Below are 19,500 nucleotides of genomic sequence, written 5' to 3' on the forward strand. Positions count from 1 at the left end.
CGCTCAATCCAGGAGTGGAGAAGGAAGCTAGAGGACCCTCTGGAGGTGGCAGGTTTAATGTCCTGCTTTTTTATTTATTTATTTATTTATTTATTTATTTATTTATTTATTTTGTAATCAACTGAAAGAAGGCAGAAGGAGTCGATGGGCCTCTTAGGCCGGAAACCTTACAAGCATAGGACCAAGGCAGAAAAGGGCCAGAGGGTTCATGGTCCTCCGTTCCACCTGAATCCAGCTAGAGAGCGAGCCAGGGGGATAGGTGTGCCCCTCGTCGCCCGTGCGCTGAGGCACTGTCACGCAAAGAGACATTCACCTTCCACGTCAACGCACCTTTAAGGGCGAGAGCGGTCCGCCGTGCCCAAGAGGAACGGGATGACATTCAACTGGGACTTGCCTCACCTTGGCTTGGGGGACCTCGAGAGCGGTCCCGTGGGGGCGGTGTTACTCGTGGTGGTAGAAGTGGAGGGCGTGTCCGGGTACTTGAGTTCATGGGCATCTCTCCCGCCGCCTCTCAGCCTATCTGCACCATGTCTCACACGTTCAGTTGCAGCTCTTACCGTTTTGAAGGCGCACGTGGGCAAGAAGTCCTGGGCAGCACAAGAAAGTCAATCACGTTGAGACAGAGAGAGCAGGAGAGGAAGTGGGCCCCAGTAGAAGTGGGCGAGAGAGCGTTGGGTGGGAACGTGGCACGAGAGAGAGAAATTATGAGATTGAGAGAGAGAGAGAGAGAGAGAGAGAGAGAGAGAGAAAGAGAAAGAGAGAGAGAAAGAGAAAGAGACAGAGAAAAGAAACTATGTTGTTTAAAATGCCAGCGGAAAGTCCATGGGGGTGAAAGAGTCCGGCAATGGCCAGGGAGTTAGCAGCTTGGCGTAGTGTCTTCCCACTGTTTTGTCTGTCTTGAGAATAGCATTCAACGCGACTGTGTTCCCGCAGCAGACGTTAGGCCGCTGCCCACGCCTTGAGTGCCGGACGAGGTCAACATAGGCTTTCCGTCACAGAATATGTTTGGGCAGGAAGATCGGAACACTTGGGGCTGGGCCATCTTCCGCTCCCCCACGGCACACACGAGTCGTCAGGGAAATGCCCGCCTCTGTGTGTGTTGTACGTGCAGCCTTCTGGGCAGAGCCGTGGAGAGTTGGACGTAGGCCAGGTGTGAGGAGGAGAGGTGTGTTTGGGGTGGCCACTGGCTCCCTTCCTGCGTGACGTAGGCTGGCGTGGGCTCTTCCCCCAGCCCCTTGCCGGTGCTGCCACGTGAGAAGGGCCCGGGTGCCGGTCCCGCTATTCCGGAATTGTGGGTTCACCTGAAGTTTGAGGCCAAACCCCCAGCGGTCAGTGGGACGCCAGTCGCCTTTGACCTCTTGGTCAAGCTGGCCTTGCCGTGACCCGTGAGAATGCCCAAGTGCCAATGTGTCCCGGGGGGCAGGGCCGGGGCTGGGATCCTCGTGTGTGCCCAGTCTCCTTCTCGTCCCTGCGGGTTCCACCATCCTCCCATCCTAACGCATCGTTAGGGATGCGGTTAGGTCGGGTCCATCCCCAGGGCGGTCCAAGGGGACCGCTTTCTGGTTTGTCAGGAAGGCAGGCTAGTAAGAAGGGTCCCGCCGAGTCCCATCTGCCAAGGACAGGGTCCCGCAGGTGGGCCAGGGCTGGCCCAAAGCGGCCGAGATGCTGATCCGCCATGTGCGGGGCGCTGTTGGCGTTTTTTCCTCAGCAAAGGGCGGAGGGAGTGGACGTGGGGGAAGGGCAGGTGGGCATTTCTGGAGCAATACTGCCATCAAGAGGAACTGGCTTGGCAATCCCGCGCACCCTTCGCTGTGCTCGCCTGGGGAGGAGTGGCTTGGGACTGTCCTGGGGGACCAGGCAGGACTAGGGCAGGTGCTCGGACGGATCCGAGGTCTCTGGAGGTCCGAGAGAAGCAGGCTCCGCCGCGGGGTCGGGCGGTGGAAGCCCCAGAGAGAGGCGCCAGGACTAGCTGGACAGCCAGGACGCCGGGCCGTTCCCGGACAGGAAGCCATGGCTCGGGAGCCTGGTGGCGGCCATGATCTGGGCGGGACCAGCGGAGGCCTCCGCCAGGGAGCCTGGGCTCGGGGCCTTGGGCAGTTTGCCTGGTGCCCCTTCCCGTGGGAGCAACCGGGGTGACGGCCTAGCTGGGTCCTCGGCCCGGGAGGCTCCGTCGGCCACACTGCACGCCTGCGGCGTGAGGAGGGCCGACTGCCAGTGCTGAGTTCCGTGGCCATTGGCGCCGGTGCCCGCCGCTGCTGGCCGGCGCCGGGGCGTTCCTCCTTGCGTCCTAGGGAGGAAGGTGGGCCGCGGGGCATCCCGCGGGGCCCGTACCCAGACGGTTCTTGACGAGGTGGACGCAAGGCCAGGCCCGGCCCGGCCCGGCCCGGCCCGGCCAGGCCACCCTTAGACGCCGCGCACCCGCCTTGTTGAGACTTGCCACCCTGTCTTGTTGTGTCCATGTCCCCGAGGTTGTCTTGGAGGCGGGCCGTTCCCCGTGGTGCTCATTTCTGCCTGGGGGCCTTCCGGGGACCCCGCTTGTCTTTGGGGGTGCGCAGGCCCTTGCCCTGCGATCAGAGGCGCACCGACCGATGAGTTCGGTGGCAAAGCTTGAGAAATGGAGACTCTCTGGGCATCGGCTAAGGGGGCCCGGGGCCTTCCCAGGCCTGCTGGAGTCCGGGAAGCCGGGGGCACCCAGAAGGAAGGACCCGTCGGACTCTGCCTGGGGACAGCCTGCTCCGCGCCAGAAGGGTCCGCTGCTCAGGCAGCATCCCCGTGCCTCTCCTCCAGTGGGTCCCTCAGGTAGAATCGGGGCAGGCCCCACTGGACGTGCAGGGAGGAGGCTCGGAGGATGCATCCTTTGCAGGACCCGGTCTGGTACAGCAGCAGACGGAGCCATCTCCCGGGGCTTTCTGGCTTCTCCGAGGGTGTTCAGGAGTCTCCCAAGTGCACAGGGGCTCGTGCCCAAAGGGTGGAGGTCGGCACCGCTTCGCTCAATCCAGGAGTGGAGAAGGAAGCTAGAGGACCCTCTGGAGGTGGCAGGTTTAATGTCCTGCTTTTTTATTTATTTATTTATTTATTTATTTATTTATTTTGTAATCAACTGAAAGAAGGCAGAAGGAGTCGATGGGCCTCTTAGGCCGGAAACCTTACAAGCATAGGACCAAGGCAGAAAAGGTCCAGAGGGTTCATGGTCCTCCGTTCCACCTGAATCCAGCTAGAGAGCGAGCCAGGGGGATAGGTGTGCCCCTCGTCGCCCGTGCGCTGAGGCACTGTCACGCAAAGAGACATTCACCTTCCACGTCAACGCACCTTTAAGGGCGAGAGCGGTCCGCCGTGCCCAAGAGGAACGGGATGACATTCAACTGGGACTTGCCTCACCTTGGCTTGGGGGACCTCGAGAGCGGTCCCGTGGGGGCGGTGTTACTCGTGGTGGTAGAAGTGGAGGGCGTGTCCGGGTACTTGAGTTCATGGGCATCTCTCCCGCCGCCTCTCAGCCTATCTGCACCATGTCTCACACGTTCAGTTGCAGCTCTTACCGTTTTGAAGGCGCACGTGGGCAAGAAGTCCTGGGCAGCACAAGAAAGTCAATCACGTTGAGACAGAGAGAGCAGGAGAGGAAGTGGGCCCCAGTAGAAGTGGGCGAGAGAGCGTTGGGTGGGAACGTGGCACGAGAGAGAGAAATTATGAGATTGAGAGAGAGAGAGAGAGAGAGAGAGAAAGAGAAAGAGAGAGAGAAAGAGAAAGAGATAGAGAAAAGAAACTATGTTGTTTAAAATGCCAGCGGAAAGTCCATGGGGGTGAAAGAGTCCGGCAATGGCCAGGGAGTTAGCAGCTTGGCGTAGTGTCTTCCCACTGTTTTGTCTGTCTTGAGAATAGCATTCAACGCGACTGTGTTCCCGCAGCAGACGTTAGGCCGCTGCCCACGCCTTGAGTGCCGGACGAGGTCAACATAGGCTTTCCGTCACAGAATATGTTTGGGCAGGAAGATCGGAACACTTGGGGCTGGGCCATCTACCGCTCCCCCACGGCACACACGAGTCGTCAGGGAAATGCCCGCCTCTGTGTGTGTTGTACGTGCAGCCTTCTGGGCAGAGCCGTGGAGAGTTGGACGTAGGCCAGGTGTGAGGAGGAGAGGTGTGTTTGGGGTGGCCACTGGCTCCCTTCCTGCGTGACGTAGGCTGGCGTGGGCTCTTCCCCCAGCCCCTTGCCGGTGCTGCCACGTGAGAAGGGCCCGGGTGCCGGTCCCGCTATTCCGGAATTGTGGGTTCACCTGAAGTTTGAGGCCAAACCCCCAGCGGTCAGTGGGACGCCAGTCGCCTTTGACCTCTTGGTCAAGCTGGCCTTGCCGTGACCCGTGAGAATGCCCAAGTGCCAATGTGTCCCGGGGGGCAGGGCCGGGGCTGGGATCCTCGTGTGTGCCCAGTCTCCTTCTCGTCCCTGCGGGTTCCACCATCCTCCCATCCTAACGCATCGTTAGGGATGCGGTTAGGTCGGGTCCATCCCCAGGGCGGTCCAAGGGGACCGCTTTCTGGTTTGTCAGGAAGGCAGGCTAGTAAGAAGGGTCCCGCCGAGTCCCATCTGCCAAGGACAGGGTCCCGCAGGTGGGCCAGGGCTGGCCCAAAGCGGCCGAGATGCTGATCCGCCATGTGCGGGGCGCTGTTGGCGTTTTTTCCTCAGCAAAGGGCGGAGGGAGTGGACGTGGGGGAAGGGCAGGTGGGCATTTCTGGAGCAATACTGCCATCAAGAGGAACTGGCTTGGCAATCCCGCGCACCCTTCGCTGTGCTCGCCTGGGGAGGAGTGGCTTGGGACTGTCCTGGGGGACCAGGCAGGACTAGGGCAGGTGCTCGGACGGATCCGAGGTCTCTGGAGGTCCGAGAGAAGCAGGCTCCGCCGCGGGGTCGGGCGGTGGAAGCCCCAGAGAGAGGCGCCAGGACTAGCTGGACAGCCAGGACGCCGGGCCGTTCCCGGACAGGAAGCCATGGCTCGGGAGCCTGGTGGCGGCCATGATCTGGGCGGGACCAGCGGAGGCCTCCGCCAGGGAGCCTGGGCTCGGGGCCTTGGGCAGTTTGCCTGGTGCCCCTTCCCGTGGGAGCAACCGGGGTGACGGCCTAGCTGGGTCCTCGGCCCGGGAGGCTCCGTCGGCCACACTGCACGCCTGCGGCGTGAGGAGGGCCGACTGCCAGTGCTGAGTTCCGTGGCCATTGGCGCCGGTGCCCGCCGCTGCTGGCCGGCGCCGGGGCGTTCCTCCTTGCGTCCTAGGGAGGAAGGTGGGCCGCGGGGCATCCCGCGGGGCCCGTACCCAGACGGTTCTTGACGAGGTGGACGCAAGGCCAGGCCCGGCCCGGCCCGGCCCGGCCCGGCCAGGCCACCCTTAGACGCCGCGCACCCGCCTTGTTGAGACTTGCCACCCTGTCTTGTTGTGTCCATGTCCCCGAGGTTGTCTTGGAGGCGGGCCGTTCCCCGTGGTGCTCATTTCTGCCTGGGGGCCTTCCGGGGACCCCGCTTGTCTTTGGGGGTGCGCAGGCCCTTGCCCTGCGATCAGAGGCGCACCGACCGATGAGTTCGGTGGCAAAGCTTGAGAAATGGAGACTCTCTGGGCATCGGCTAAGGGGGCCCGGGGCCTTCCCAGGCCTGCTGGAGTCCGGGAAGCCGGGGGCACCCAGAAGGAAGGACCCGTCGGACTCTGCCTGGGGACAGCCTGCTCCGCGCCAGAAGGGTCCGCTGCTCAGGCAGCATCCCCGTGCCTCTCCTCCAGTGGGTCCCTCAGGTAGAATCGGGGCAGGCCCCACTGGACGTGCAGGGAGGAGGCTCGGAGGATGCATCCTTTGCAGGACCCGGTCTGGTACAGCAGCAGACGGAGCCATCTCCCGGGGCTTTCTGGCTTCTCCGAGGGTGTTCAGGAGTCTCCCAAGTGCACAGGGGCTCGTGCCCAAAGGGTGGAGGTCGGCACCGCTTCGCTCAATCCAGGAGTGGAGAAGGAAGCTAGAGGACCCTCTGGAGGTGGCAGGTTTAATGTCCTGCTTTTTTATTTATTTATTTATTTATTTATTTATTTATTTTGTAATCAACTGAAAGAAGGCAGAAGGAGTCGATGGGCCTCTTAGGCCGGAAACCTTACAAGCATAGGACCAAGGCAGAAAAGGTCCAGAGGGTTCATGGTCCTCCGTTCCACCTGAATCCAGCTAGAGAGCGAGCCAGGGGGATAGGTGTGCCCCTCGTCGCCCGTGCGCTGAGGCACTGTCACGCAAAGAGACATTCACCTTCCACGTCAACGCACCTTTAAGGGCGAGAGCGGTCCGCCGTGCCCAAGAGGAACGGGATGACATTCAACTGGGACTTGCCTCACCTTGGCTTGGGGGACCTCGAGAGCGGTCCCGTGGGGGCGGTGTTACTCGTGGTGGTAGAAGTGGAGGGCGTGTCCGGGTACTTGAGTTCATGGGCATCTCTCCCGCCGCCTCTCAGCCTATCTGCACCATGTCTCACACGTTCAGTTGCAGCTCTTACCGTTTTGAAGGCGCACGTGGGCAAGAAGTCCTGGGCAGCACAAGAAAGTCAATCACGTTGAGACAGAGAGAGCAGGAGAGGAAGTGGGCCCCAGTAGAAGTGGGCGAGAGAGCGTTGGGTGGGAACGTGGCACGAGAGAGAGAAATTATGAGATTGAGAGAGAGAGAGAGAGAGAGAGAGAGAGAGAAAGAGAAAGAGAGAGAGAAAGAGAAAGAGAGAGAGAAAGAGAAAGAGACAGAGAAAAGAAACTATGTTGTTTAAAATGCCAGCGGAAAGTCCATGGGGGTGAAAGAGTCCGGCAATGGCCAGGGAGTTAGCAGCTTGGCGTAGTGTCTTCCCACTGTTTTGTCTGTCTTGAGAATAGCATTCAACGCGACTGTGTTCCCGCAGCAGACGTTAGGCCGCTGCCCACGCCTTGAGTGCCGGACGAGGTCAACATAGGCTTTCCGTCACAGAATATGTTTGGGCAGGAAGATCGGAACACTTGGGGCTGGGCCATCTACCGCTCCCCCACGGCACACACGAGTCGTCAGGGAAATGCCCGCCTCTGTGTGTGTTGTACGTGCAGCCTTCTGGGCAGAGCCGTGGAGAGTTGGACGTAGGCCAGGTGTGAGGAGGAGAGGTGTGTTTGGGGTGGCCACTGGCTCCCTTCCTGCGTGACGTAGGCTGGCGTGGGCTCTTCCCCCAGCCCCTTGCCGGTGCTGCCACGTGAGAAGGGCCCGGGTGCCGGTCCCGCTATTCCGGAATTGTGGGTTCACCTGAAGTTTGAGGCCAAACCCCCAGCGGTCAGTGGGACGCCAGTCGCCTTTGACCTCTTGGTCAAGCTGGCCTTGCCGTGACCCGTGAGAATGCCCAAGTGCCAATGTGTCCCGGGGGGCAGGGCCGGGGCTGGGATCCTCGTGTGTGCCCAGTCTCCTTCTCGTCCCTGCGGGTTCCACCATCCTCCCATCCTAACGCATCGTTAGGGATGCGGTTAGGTCGGGTCCATCCCCAGGGCGGTCCAAGGGGACCGCTTTCTGGTTTGTCAGGAAGGCAGGCTAGTAAGAAGGGTCCCGCCGAGTCCCATCTGCCAAGGACAGGGTCCCGCAGGTGGGCCAGGGCTGGCCCAAAGCGGCCGAGATGCTGATCCGCCATGTGCGGGGCGCTGTTGGCGTTTTTTCCTCAGCAAAGGGCGGAGGGAGTGGACGTGGGGGAAGGGCAGGTGGGCATTTCTGGAGCAATACTGCCATCAAGAGGAACTGGCTTGGCAATCCCGCGCACCCTTCGCTGTGCTCGCCTGGGGAGGAGTGGCTTGGGACTGTCCTGGGGGACCAGGCAGGACTAGGGCAGGTGCTCGGACGGATCCGAGGTCTCTGGAGGTCCGAGAGAAGCAGGCTCCGCCGCGGGGTCGGGCGGTGGAAGCCCCAGAGAGAGGCGCCAGGACTAGCTGGACAGCCAGGACGCCGGGCCGTTCCCGGACAGGAAGCCATGGCTCGGGAGCCTGGTGGCGGCCATGATCTGGGCGGGACCAGCGGAGGCCTCCGCCAGGGAGCCTGGGCTCGGGGCCTTGGGCAGTTTGCCTGGTGCCCCTTCCCGTGGGAGCAACCGGGGTGACGGCCTAGCTGGGTCCTCGGCCCGGGAGGCTCCGTCGGCCACACTGCACGCCTGCGGCGTGAGGAGGGCCGACTGCCAGTGCTGAGTTCCGTGGCCATTGGCGCCGGTGCCCGCCGCTGCTGGCCGGCGCCGGGGCGTTCCTCCTTGCGTCCTAGGGAGGAAGGTGGGCCGCGGGGCATCCCGCGGGGCCCGTACCCAGACGGTTCTTGACGAGGTGGACGCAAGGCCAGGCCCGGCCCGGCCCGGCCCGGCCCGGCCAGGCCACCCTTAGACGCCGCGCACCCGCCTTGTTGAGACTTGCCACCCTGTCTTGTTGTGTCCATGTCCCCGAGGTTGTCTTGGAGGCGGGCCGTTCCCCGTGGTGCTCATTTCTGCCTGGGGGCCTTCCGGGGACCCCGCTTGTCTTTGGGGGTGCGCAGGCCCTTGCCCTGCGATCAGAGGCGCACCGACCGATGAGTTCGGTGGCAAAGCTTGAGAAATGGAGACTCTCTGGGCATCGGCTAAGGGGGCCCGGGGCCTTCCCAGGCCTGCTGGAGTCCGGGAAGCCGGGGGCACCCAGAAGGAAGGACCCGTCGGACTCTGCCTGGGGACAGCCTGCTCCGCGCCAGAAGGGTCCGCTGCTCAGGCAGCATCCCCGTGCCTCTCCTCCAGTGGGTCCCTCAGGTAGAATCGGGGCAGGCCCCACTGGACGTGCAGGGAGGAGGCTCGGAGGATGCATCCTTTGCAGGACCCGGTCTGGTACAGCAGCAGACGGAGCCATCTCCCGGGGCTTTCTGGCTTCTCCGAGGGTGTTCAGGAGTCTCCCAAGTGCACAGGGGCTCGTGCCCAAAGGGTGGAGGTCGGCACCGCTTCGCTCAATCCAGGAGTGGAGAAGGAAGCTAGAGGACCCTCTGGAGGTGGCAGGTTTAATGTCCTGCTTTTTTATTTATTTATTTATTTATTTATTTATTTATTTATTTATTTATTTATTTTGTAATCAACTGAAAGAAGGCAGAAGGAGTCGATGGGCCTCTTAGGCCGGAAACCTTACAAGCATAGGACCAAGGCAGAAAAGGTCCAGAGGGTTCATGGTCCTCCGTTCCACCTGAATCCAGCTAGAGAGCGAGCCAGGGGGATAGGTGTGCCCCTCGTCGCCCGTGCGCTGAGGCACTGTCACGCAAAGAGACATTCACCTTCCACGTCAACGCACCTTTAAGGGCGAGAGCGGTCCGCCGTGCCCAAGAGGAACGGGATGACATTCAACTGGGACTTGCCTCACCTTGGCTTGGGGGACCTCGAGAGCGGTCCCGTGGGGGCGGTGTTACTCGTGGTGGTAGAAGTGGAGGGCGTGTCCGGGTACTTGAGTTCATGGGCATCTCTCCCGCCGCCTCTCAGCCTATCTGCACCATGTCTCACACGTTCAGTTGCAGCTCTTACCGTTTTGAAGGCGCACGTGGGCAAGAAGTCCTGGGCAGCACAAGAAAGTCAATCACGTTGAGACAGAGAGAGCAGGAGAGGAAGTGGGCCCCAGTAGAAGTGGGCGAGAGAGCGTTGGGTGGGAACGTGGCACGAGAGAGAGAAATTATGAGATTGAGAGAGAGAGAGAGAGAGAGAGAGAGAGAGAAAGAGAAAGAGAGAGAGAAAGAGAAAGAGAGAGAGAAAGAGAAAGAGACAGAGAAAAGAAACTATGTTGTTTAAAATGCCAGCGGAAAGTCCATGGGGGTGAAAGAGTCCGGCAATGGCCAGGGAGTTAGCAGCTTGGCGTAGTGTCTTCCCACTGTTTTGTCTGTCTTGAGAATAGCATTCAACGCGACTGTGTTCCCGCAGCAGACGTTAGGCCGCTGCCCACGCCTTGAGTGCCGGACGAGGTCAACATAGGCTTTCCGTCACAGAATATGTTTGGGCAGGAAGATCGGAACACTTGGGGCTGGGCCATCTACCGCTCCCCCACGGCACACACGAGTCGTCAGGGAAATGCCCGCCTCTGTGTGTGTTGTACGTGCAGCCTTCTGGGCAGAGCCGTGGAGAGTTGGACGTAGGCCAGGTGTGAGGAGGAGAGGTGTGTTTGGGGTGGCCACTGGCTCCCTTCCTGCGTGACGTAGGCTGGCGTGGGCTCTTCCCCCAGCCCCTTGCCGGTGCTGCCACGTGAGAAGGGCCCGGGTGCCGGTCCCGCTATTCCGGAATTGTGGGTTCACCTGAAGTTTGAGGCCAAACCCCCAGCGGTCAGTGGGACGCCAGTCGCCTTTGACCTCTTGGTCAAGCTGGCCTTGCCGTGACCCGTGAGAATGCCCAAGTGCCAATGTGTCCCGGGGGGCAGGGCTGGGGCTGGGATCCTCGTGTGTGCCCAGTCTCCTTCTCGTCCCTGCGGGTTCCACCATCCTCCCATCCTAACGCATCGTTAGGGATGCGGTTAGGTCGGGTCCATCCCCAGGGCGGTCCAAGGGGACCGCTTTCTGGTTTGTCAGGAAGGCAGGCTAGTAAGAAGGGTCCCGCCGAGTCCCATCTGCCAAGGACAGGGTCCCGCAGGTGGGCCAGGGCTGGCCCAAAGCGGCCGAGATGCTGATCCGCCATGTGCGGGGCGCTGTTGGCGTTTTTTCCTCAGCAAAGGGCGGAGGGAGTGGACGTGGGGGAAGGGCAGGTGGGCATTTCTGGAGCAATACTGCCATCAAGAGGAACTGGCTTGGCAATCCCGCGCACCCTTCGCTGTGCTCGCCTGGGGAGGAGTGGCTTGGGACTGTCCTGGGGGACCAGGCAGGACTAGGGCAGGTGCTCGGACGGATCCGAGGTCTCTGGAGGTCCGAGAGAAGCAGGCTCCGCCGCGGGGTCGGGCGGTGGAAGCCCCAGAGAGAGGCGCCAGGACTAGCTGGACAGCCAGGACGCCGGGCCGTTCCCGGACAGGAAGCCATGGCTCGGGAGCCTGGTGGCGGCCATGATCTGGGCGGGACCAGCGGAGGCCTCCGCCAGGGAGCCTGGGCTCGGGGCCTTGGGCAGTTTGCCTGGTGCCCCTTCCCGTGGGAGCAACCGGGGTGACGGCCTAGCTGGGTCCTCGGCCCGGGAGGCTCCGTCGGCCACACTGCACGCCTGCGGCGTGAGGAGGGCCGACTGCCAGTGCTGAGTTCCGTGGCCATTGGCGCCGGTGCCCGCCGCTGCTGGCCGGCGCCGGGGCGTTCCTCCTTGCGTCCTAGGGAGGAAGGTGGGCCGCGGGGCATCCCGCGGGGCCCGTACCCAGACGGTTCTTGACGAGGTGGACGCAAGGCCAGGCCCGGCCCGGCCCGGCCCGGCCCGGCCAGGCCACCCTTAGACGCCGCGCACCCGCCTTGTTGAGACTTGCCACCCTGTCTTGTTGTGTCCATGTCCCCGAGGTTGTCTTGGAGGCGGGCCGTTCCCCGTGGTGCTCATTTCTGCCTGGGGGCCTTCCGGGGACCCCGCTTGTCTTTGGGGGTGCGCAGGCCCTTGCCCTGCGATCAGAGGCGCACCGACCGATGAGTTCGGTGGCAAAGCTTGAGAAATGGAGACTCTCTGGGCATCGGCTAAGGGGGCCTGGGGCCTTCCCAGGCCTGCTGGAGTCCGGGAAGCCGGGGGCACCCAGAAGGAAGGACCCGTCGGACTCTGCCTGGGGACAGCCTGCTCCGCGCCAGAAGGGTCCGCTGCTCAGGCAGCATCCCCGTGCCTCTCCTCCAGTGGCTCCCTCAGGTAGAATCGGGGCAGGCCCCACTGGACGTGCAGGGAGGAGGCTCGGAGGATGCATCCTTTGCAGGACCCGGTCTGGTACAGCAGCAGACGGAGCCATCTCCCGGGGCTTTCTGGCTTCTCCGAGGGTGTTCAGGAGTCTCCCAAGTGCGCAGGGGCTCGTGCCCAAAGGGTGGAGGTCGGCACCGCTTCGCTCAATTCAGGAGTGGAGAAGGAAGCTAGAGGACCCTCTGGAGGTGGCAGGTTTAATGTCCTGCTTTTTTATTTATTTATTTATTTATTTATTTATTTATTTATTTATTTATTTTGTAATCAACTGAAAGAAGGCAGAAGGAGTCGATGGGCCTCTTAGGCCGGAAACCTTACAAGCATAGGACCAAGGCAGAAAAGGTCCAGAGGGTTCATGGTCCTCCGTTCCACCTGAATCCAGCTAGAGAGCGAGCCAGGGGGATAGGTGTGCCCCTCGTCGCCCGTGCGCTGAGGCACTGTCACGCAAAGAGACATTCACCTTCCACGTCAACGCACCTTTAAGGGCGAGAGCGGTCCGCCGTGCCCAAGAGGAACGGGATGACATTCAACTGGGACTTGCCTCACCTTGGCTTGGGGGACCTCGAGAGCGGTCCCGTGGGGGCGGTGTTACTCGTGGTGGTAGAAGTGGAGGGCGTGTCCGGGTACTTGAGTTCATGGGCATCTCTCCCGCCGCCTCTCAGCCTATCTGCACCATGTCTCACACGTTCAGTTGCAGCTCTTACCGTTTTGAAGGCGCACGTGGGCAAGAAGTCCTGGGCAGCACAAGAAAGTCAATCACGTTGAGACAGAGAGAGCAGGAGAGGAAGTGGGCCCCAGTAGAAGTGGGCGAGAGAGCGTTGGGTGGGAACGTGGCACGAGAGAGAGAAATTATGAGATTGAGAGAGAGAGAGAGAGAGAGAGAGAGAAAGAGAAAGAGAGAGAGAAAGAGAAAGAGAAAGAGACAGAGAAAAGAAACTATGTTGTTTAAAATGCCAGCGGAAAGTCCATGGGGGTGAAAGAGTCCGGCAATGGCCAGGGAGTTAGCAGCTTGGCGTAGTGTCTTCCCACTGTTTTGTCTGTCTTGAGAATAGCATTCAACGCGACTGTGTTCCCGCAGCAGACGTTAGGCCGCTGCCCACGCCTTGAGTGCCGGACGAGGTCAACATAGGCTTTCCGTCACAGAATATGTTTGGGCAGGAAGATCGGAACACTTGGGGCTGGGCCATCTACCGCTCCCCCACGGCACACACGAGTCGTCAGGGAAATGCCCGCCTCTGTGTGTGTTGTACGTGCAGCCTTCTGGGCAGAGCCGTGGAGAGTTGGACGTAGGCCAGGTGTGAGGAGGAGAGGTGTGTTTGGGGTGGCCACTGGCTCCCTTCCTGCGTGACGTAGGCTGGCGTGGGCTCTTCCCCCAGCCCCTTGCCGGTGCTGCCACGTGAGAAGGGCCCGGGTGCCGGTCCCGCTATTCCGGAATTGTGGGTTCACCTGAAGTTTGAGGCCAAACCCCCAGCGGTCAGTGGGACGCCAGTCGCCTTTGACCTCTTGGTCAAGCTGGCCTTGCCGTGACCCGTGAGAATGCCCAAGTGCCAATGTGTCCCGGGGGGCAGGGCCGGGGCTGGGATCCTAGTGTGTGCCCAGTCTCCTTCTCGTCCCTGCGGGTTCCACCATCCTCCCATCCTAACGCATCGTTAGGGATGCGGTTAGGTCGGGTCCATCCCCAGGGCGGTCCAAGGGGACCGCTTTCTGGTTTGTCAGGAAGGCAGGCTAGTAAGAAGGGTCCCGCCGAGTCCCATCTGCCAAGGACAGGGTCCCGCAGGTGGGCCAGGGCTGGCCCAAAGCGGCCGAGATGCTGATCCGCCATGTGCGGGGCGCTGTTGGCGTTTTTTCCTCAGCAAAGGGCGGAGGGAGTGGACGTGGGGGAAGGGCAGGTGGGCATTTCTGGAGCAATACTGCCATCAAGAGGAACTGGCTTGGCAATCCCGCGCACCCTTCGCTGTGCTCGCCTGGGGAGGAGTGGCTTGGGACTGTCCTGGGGGACCAGAAGGGTCCGCTGCTCAGGCAGCATCCCCGTGCCTCTCCTCCAGTGGGTCCCTCAGGTAGAATCGGGGCAGGCCCCACTGGACGTGCAGGGAGGAGGCTCGGAGGATGCATCCTTTGCAGGACCCGGTCTGGTACAGCAGCAGACGGAGCCATCTCCCGGGGCTTTCTGGCTTCTCCGAGGGTGTTCAGGAGTCTCCCAAGTGCGCAGGGGCTCGTGCCCAAAGGGTGGAGGTCGGCACCGCTTCGCTCAATTCAGGAGTGGAGAAGGAAGCTAGAGGACCCTCTGGAGGTGGCAGGTTTAATGTCCTGCTTTTTTATTTATTTATTTATTTATTTATTTATTTATTTTGTAATCAACTGAAAGAAGGCAGAAGGAGTCGATGGGCCTCTTAGGCCGGAAACCTTACAAGCATAGGACCAAGGCAGAAAAGGTCCAGAGGGTTCATGGTCCTCCGTTCCACCTGAATCCAGCTAGAGAGCGAGCCAGGGGGATAGGTGTGCCCCTCGTCGCCCGTGCGCTGAGGCACTGTCACGCAAAGAGACATTCACCTTCCACGTCAACGCACCTTTAAGGGCGAGAGCGGTCCGCCGTGCCCAAGAGGAACGGGATGACATTCAACTGGGACTTGCCTCACCTTGGCTTGGGGGACCTCGAGAGCGGTCCCGTGGGGGCGGTGTTACTCGTGGTGGTAGAAGTGGAGGGCGTGTCCGGGTACTTGAGTTCATGGGCATCTCTCCCGCCGCCTCTCAGCCTATCTGCACCATGTCTCACACGTTCAGTTGCAGCTCTTACCGTTTTGAAGGCGCACGTGGGCAAGAAGTCCTGGGCAGCACAAGAAAGTCAATCACGTTGAGACAGAGAGAGCGGGAGAGGAAGTGGGCCCCAGTAGAAGTGGGCGAGAGAGCGTTGGGTGGGAACGTGGCACGAGAGAGAGAAATTATGAGATTGACAGAGAGAGAGAGAGAGAGAGAGAAAGAGAAAGAGAGAGAGAAAGAGAAAGAGACAGAGAAAAGAAACTATGTTGTTTAAAATGCCAGCGGAAAGTCCATGGGGGTGAAAGAGTCCGGCAATGGCCAGGGAGTTAGCAGCTTGGCGTAGTGTCTTCCCACTGTTTTGTCTGTCTTGAGAATAGCATTCAACGCGACTGTGTTCCCGCAGCAGACGTTAGGCCGCTGCCCACGCCTTGAGTGCCGGACGAGGTCAACATAGGCTTTCCGTCACAGAATATGTTTGGGCAGGAAGATCGGAACACTTGGGGCTGGGCCATCTACCGCTCCCCCACGGCACACACGAGTCGTCAGGGAAATGCCCGCCTCTGTGTGTGTTGTACGTGCAGCCTTCTGGGCAGAGCCGTGGAGAGTTGGACGTAGGCCAGGTGTGAGGAGGAGAGGTGTGTTTGGGGTGGCCACTGGCTCCCTTCCTGCGTGACGTAGGCTGGCGTGGGCTCTTCCCCCAGCCCCTTGCCGGTGCTGCCACGTGAGAAGGGCCCGGGTGCCGGTCCCGCTATTCCGGAATTGTGGGTTCACCTGAAGTTTGAGGCCAAACCCCCAGCGGTCAGTGGGACGCCAGTCGCCTTTGACCTCTTGGTCAAGCTGGCCTTGCCGTGACCCGTGAGAATGCCCAAGTGCCAATGTGTCCCGGGGGGCAGGGCCGGGGCTGGGATCCTAGTGTGTGCCCAGTCTCCTTCTCGTCCCTGCGGGTTCCACCATCCTCCCATCCTAACGCATCGTTAGGGATGCGGTTAGGTCGGGTCCATCCCCAGGGCGGTCCAAGGGGACCGCTTTCTGGTTTGTCAGGAAGGCAGGCTAGTAAGAAGGGTCCCGCCGAGTCCCATCTGCCAAGGACAGGGTCCCGCAGGTGGGCCAGGGCTGGCCCAAAGCGGCCGAGATGCTGATCCGCCATGTGCGGGGCGCTGTTGGCGTTTTTTCCTCAGCAAAGGGCGGAGGGAGTGGACGTGGGGGAAGGGCAGGTGGGCATTTCTGGAGCAATACTGTCATCAAGAGGAACTGGCTTGGCAATCCCGCGCACCCTTCGCTGTGCTCGCCTGGGGAGGAGTGGCTTGGGACTGTCCTGGGGGACCAGGCAGGACTAGGGCAGGTGCTCGGGACGGATCCGAGGTCTCTGGAGGTCCGAGAGAAGCAGGCTCCGCCGCGGGGTCGGGCGGTGGAAGCCCCAGAGAGAGGCGCCAGGACTAGCTGGACAGCCAGGACGCCGGGCCGTTCCCGGACAGGAAGCCACGGCTCGGGAGCCTGGTGGCGGCCATGATCTGGGCGGGACCAGCGGAGGCCTCCGCCAGGGAGCCTGGGCTCGGGGCCTTGGGCAGTTTGCCTGGTGCCCCTTCCCGTGGGAGCAACCGGGGTGACGGCCTAGCTGGGTCCTCGGCCCGGGAGGCTCCGTCGGCCACACTGCACGCCTGCGGTGTGAGGAGGGCCGACTGCCAGTGCTGAGTTCCGTGGCCATTGGCGTTGGTGCCCGCCGCTGCTGGCCGGCGCCGGGGCGTTCCTCCTTGCGTCCTAGGGAGGAAGGTGGGCCGCGGGGCATCCCGCGGGGCCCGTACCCAGACGGTTCTTGACGAGGTGGACGCAAGGCCAGGCCCGGCCCGGCCCGGCCCGGCCACCCTCAGACGCCGCGCACCCGCCTTGTTGAGACTTGCCACCCTGTCTTGTTGTGTCCATGTCCCCGAGGTTGTCTTGGAGGCGGGCCGTTCCCCGTGGTGCTCATTTCTGCCTGGGGGCCTTCCGGGGACCCCGCTTGTCTTTGGGGGTGCGCAGGCCCTTGCCCTGCGATCAGAGGCGCACCGACCGATGAGTTCGGTGGCAAAGCTTGAGAAATGGAGACTCTCTGGGCATCGGCTAAGGGGGCCCGGGGCCTTCCCAGGCCTGCTGGAGTCCGGGAAGCCGGGGGCACCCAGAAGGAAGGACCCGTCGGACTCTGCCTGGGGACAGCCTGCTCCGCGCCAGAAGGGTCCGCTGCTCAGGCAGCATCCCCGTGCCTCTCCTCCAGTGGGTCCCTCAGGTAGAATCGGGGCAGGCCCCACTGGACGTTCAGGGAGGAGGCTCGGAGGATGCATCCTTTGCAGGACCCGGTCTGGTACAGCAGCAGACGGAGCCATCTCCCGGGGCTTTCTGGCTTCTCCGAGGGTGTTCAGGAGTCTCCCAAGTGCACAGGGGCTCGTGCCCAAAGGGTGGAGGTCGGCACCGCTTCGCTCAATTCAGGAGTGGAGAAGGATCCTAGAGGACCCTCTGGAGGTGGCAGGTGGAATGTCCTGCTTTTTTTTTCTTTTTAAATGTACTGAAGCAAGGCAGAAGGATTCGGTGGGCCTCTTAGGCCTGAGACGTTAAAAGCACAGGACCAAAGCAGAAAAGGTCCAGAGGGTTCATGGTTCTCTATTCCACCTGAATACAGCTAGATATTGAGCCAGGTGGATACGTGTGCCCCTCCTCTCCCGTGTGCAGAGACACTGCCATGCAAAGAGACATTCACCTTCCACTTCAATGCACATTTAAGCGTGACCGCGGTCCGCTGTGACGAAGAGGTACGGGATGACATTCAGCTGAGTGTTGCCTGATCTTGGCTTGGGGCATCTCGGAAGTTGGCTTCTGGGTGGTGTTGGTGGTCGTCGTAGAAGCGGAGGGTGTGATCGGATTCTTGCGTAGTTCTCTTGCTGCCTCTCAGCTCATCTGCTCTATGTCTCACGCGTTCAGTTGCCTCTGGTACCTGCCTACGTCGGCAGGAATTCCTGGATAGTCTAGGAAACCCTATGACGTTGAGACAGAATAAGACAGGAATCGCGCAAAGTAGAAGTGGGCGAGAGAGTGTTGGGTCCGAATGTGGCAAGAGAGGGAGCGATAGAGTGTGAGAGGGAGCAGAAACCATGTGGTTGATATCCCAAAGAAAGTCGTGCGGGCTAAGGAGTCTGTAAATGGCGAGGAATATCCTTTTTGATATGACTTGTATGCCTAATCGATCCCCTGGGAGTTTGAACATCTCCTTCGGCAAGTGGACAGGGATACAAAACGGCATCATCCTTCATCACTATAAATTTAAAAATAAGAAATTCCCTAGCTATGTTGATTGGATCATAGTGTCCAATATGGCGAAGAAGATTATGTCGGGTGCTAGGCCCAGGCAGTTACTGCAGCAGAGAGTGTGGTGGTAAAAAAAATAACAAGCAAGGCGTGCTTCACAGCCACTTCATTCTACCTAACGAAACTTGAGACAAATGGAGGAGAGCAAAGGCATAATTATCCCAGTCTTTTCTCCTGATGTGACCCCTGCTAATTCCTGCTATCCCTCAATCAGGTATCATTCCCTTTCCTAAGCCTTTAAGGTAGGTCAGACTGCTGAACTGGGCTTGGCCTGGATCTATGAGTACAGGAAAGTGTCAATAATTCCAGGATAAGAGTAAAATCCAGGTACTTGGCCCATCTCAAGCTATGAGTCTGTGTCTTCGTGAAAGAAACAATTCTACTTAAGATAACCCATATAAACCCAAAAGTGTGCTCAGGAATAGATCAATACAGCTATTCGTTTTGATGAATTATTTCATAGACATTTATATTTCCCACTGAGAGCATGACAGAAAGGGATACCAGTTCACCCCGAGAACCCAAGCAGAGTAAATCCCACTTCAAGGTCTTGGACTGGTTTTGGGACTCCCTTTGGATTAGGACAAAAGGCAAGGGGAAAGGTCTGGCAGGCCAGAGTGGTTGGCATTACTGGAGCAAAAGGGCCATCAAGCAGAAGCTTTTTGAGTATGGCTTCTGGCCCCTCTCTGTATATTCATACTTCTGTTAGGTAACAGGGTAGGTATGTTAGGTAACAGGGTAGGTATGGAACACTCAGAGAATTCTGGAGGTGGACATGGGCACCTGAGTGGGTGCCTTCAGAGTTGGTGTGAAAGCGAGGGAACCAGGCTCATCCACCAAGGAGCCCTGGGCTGCAAGGCCTGTCAGGTCCCAGAGGTGGTGGAGGTCAGGCCTTGTTGGCCGCCATGTTTGGAAACTGGGAGCTGAAGCTACTGCAGGGCATTGAGACTATGGATCTTTGCTCTTAGTGCAGAAACAAGGTTAGGGGAAGAGAGGGATCCTTGCCCTGGAGGTCTTGGGGCTATGTAAAACCTGAGAACTAATGTCTCATCTGGAGGACCCAGGCCTAGCCAAATAACGGGGCGGTGGTAGTGGCCACATTATCAGGCGTTATCTCTTGTAAAGAGGAGAGAGAATTTCCTGATTATTGGGTACTGCACTGAGACAAGAAATGGTAACCCAGGTGCATTGCATTTCAAGTATTGTCTGGTTTCCTCTTGCTCCCCTCAAAGAAAGGCTGGGTCAAGGGTGCCACAGGATGCCATTCTGTCAGTCTTCTCCCTAGGGCACAGGGTACCCACTGGTTGTTGATGTTGTGTAGGACATCATCCTGAAGAGTCGAGAGACCTAGGACTACATTGAGAGTTTACTTCAGTTTGGGAAAATTCCAGGGTTGCCCTGTTCCCTGATCTCTAGGGGCATGACCTGGTTTGTCTCTTGGGGACATTTGGATTCACACTCATGGTGTTGTATGTTCTGTGGGTTCAGCTGTCCTATGGTGATGGCCCACGCCAAAGGAGCACACTCAAACTACTAATCTCACAGCCTTGGGCTAGGGACTGATCAGATCTTCTAGGTCTGGATGCTGCCTTGGA

The 19,500-nt window shown here is 60.0% G+C and overlaps 2 long non-coding RNA genes across 3 annotated transcripts in view, besides 5 other annotated features; one reads left to right on the plus strand and one right to left on the minus strand.

Annotated features, from left to right (window-relative positions):
- DANT2 (DXZ4 associated non-coding transcript 2, distal) overlaps positions 1–19,500 on the minus strand; it is a 128,716-nt gene that overhangs the window by 31,928 nt on the left and 77,288 nt on the right. The gene's annotated exons all lie outside the window — the stretch shown is intronic.
- The window catches only part of DANT1 (DXZ4 associated non-coding transcript 1, proximal), a 64,564-nt gene that overhangs the window by 31,360 nt on the left and 13,704 nt on the right, over positions 1–19,500 (plus strand). The window lies entirely within an intron of this gene.
- Positions 10,583–11,128: an enhancer, noted in NCBI's record as "H3K27ac-H3K4me1 hESC enhancer chrX:114999239-114999784 (GRCh37/hg19 assembly coordinates)". NCBI's record gives its function as "activates a minimal SCP1, AML or CMV promoter by ChIP-STARR-seq in primed H9 embryonic stem cells {active_cell/tissue: H9 hESC(primed)}" and the evidence as "EXISTENCE:reporter gene assay evidence [ECO:0000049][PMID:30033119]".
- Positions 14,826–15,349: an enhancer, noted in NCBI's record as "H3K27ac-H3K4me1 hESC enhancer chrX:115003482-115004005 (GRCh37/hg19 assembly coordinates)". NCBI's record gives its function as "activates a minimal SCP1, AML or CMV promoter by ChIP-STARR-seq in primed H9 embryonic stem cells {active_cell/tissue: H9 hESC(primed)}" and the evidence as "EXISTENCE:reporter gene assay evidence [ECO:0000049][PMID:30033119]".
- Positions 15,350–15,872: an enhancer, noted in NCBI's record as "H3K27ac-H3K4me1 hESC enhancer chrX:115004006-115004528 (GRCh37/hg19 assembly coordinates)". NCBI's record gives its function as "activates a minimal SCP1, AML or CMV promoter by ChIP-STARR-seq in naive H9 embryonic stem cells {active_cell/tissue: H9 hESC(naive)}" and the evidence as "EXISTENCE:reporter gene assay evidence [ECO:0000049][PMID:30033119]".
- Positions 15,873–16,396: an enhancer, noted in NCBI's record as "H3K27ac-H3K4me1 hESC enhancer chrX:115004529-115005052 (GRCh37/hg19 assembly coordinates)". NCBI's record gives its function as "activates a minimal SCP1, AML or CMV promoter by ChIP-STARR-seq in primed H9 embryonic stem cells {active_cell/tissue: H9 hESC(primed)}" and the evidence as "EXISTENCE:reporter gene assay evidence [ECO:0000049][PMID:30033119]".
- Positions 16,397–16,919: an enhancer, noted in NCBI's record as "H3K27ac-H3K4me1 hESC enhancer chrX:115005053-115005575 (GRCh37/hg19 assembly coordinates)". NCBI's record gives its function as "activates a minimal SCP1, AML or CMV promoter by ChIP-STARR-seq in naive and primed H9 embryonic stem cells {active_cell/tissue: H9 hESC(naive and primed)}" and the evidence as "EXISTENCE:reporter gene assay evidence [ECO:0000049][PMID:30033119]".

This window comes from Homo sapiens, chromosome X (assembly GCF_000001405.40).
Source record: "Homo sapiens chromosome X, GRCh38.p14 Primary Assembly".
Taxonomy (NCBI): domain Eukaryota; kingdom Metazoa; phylum Chordata; class Mammalia; order Primates; family Hominidae; genus Homo; species Homo sapiens.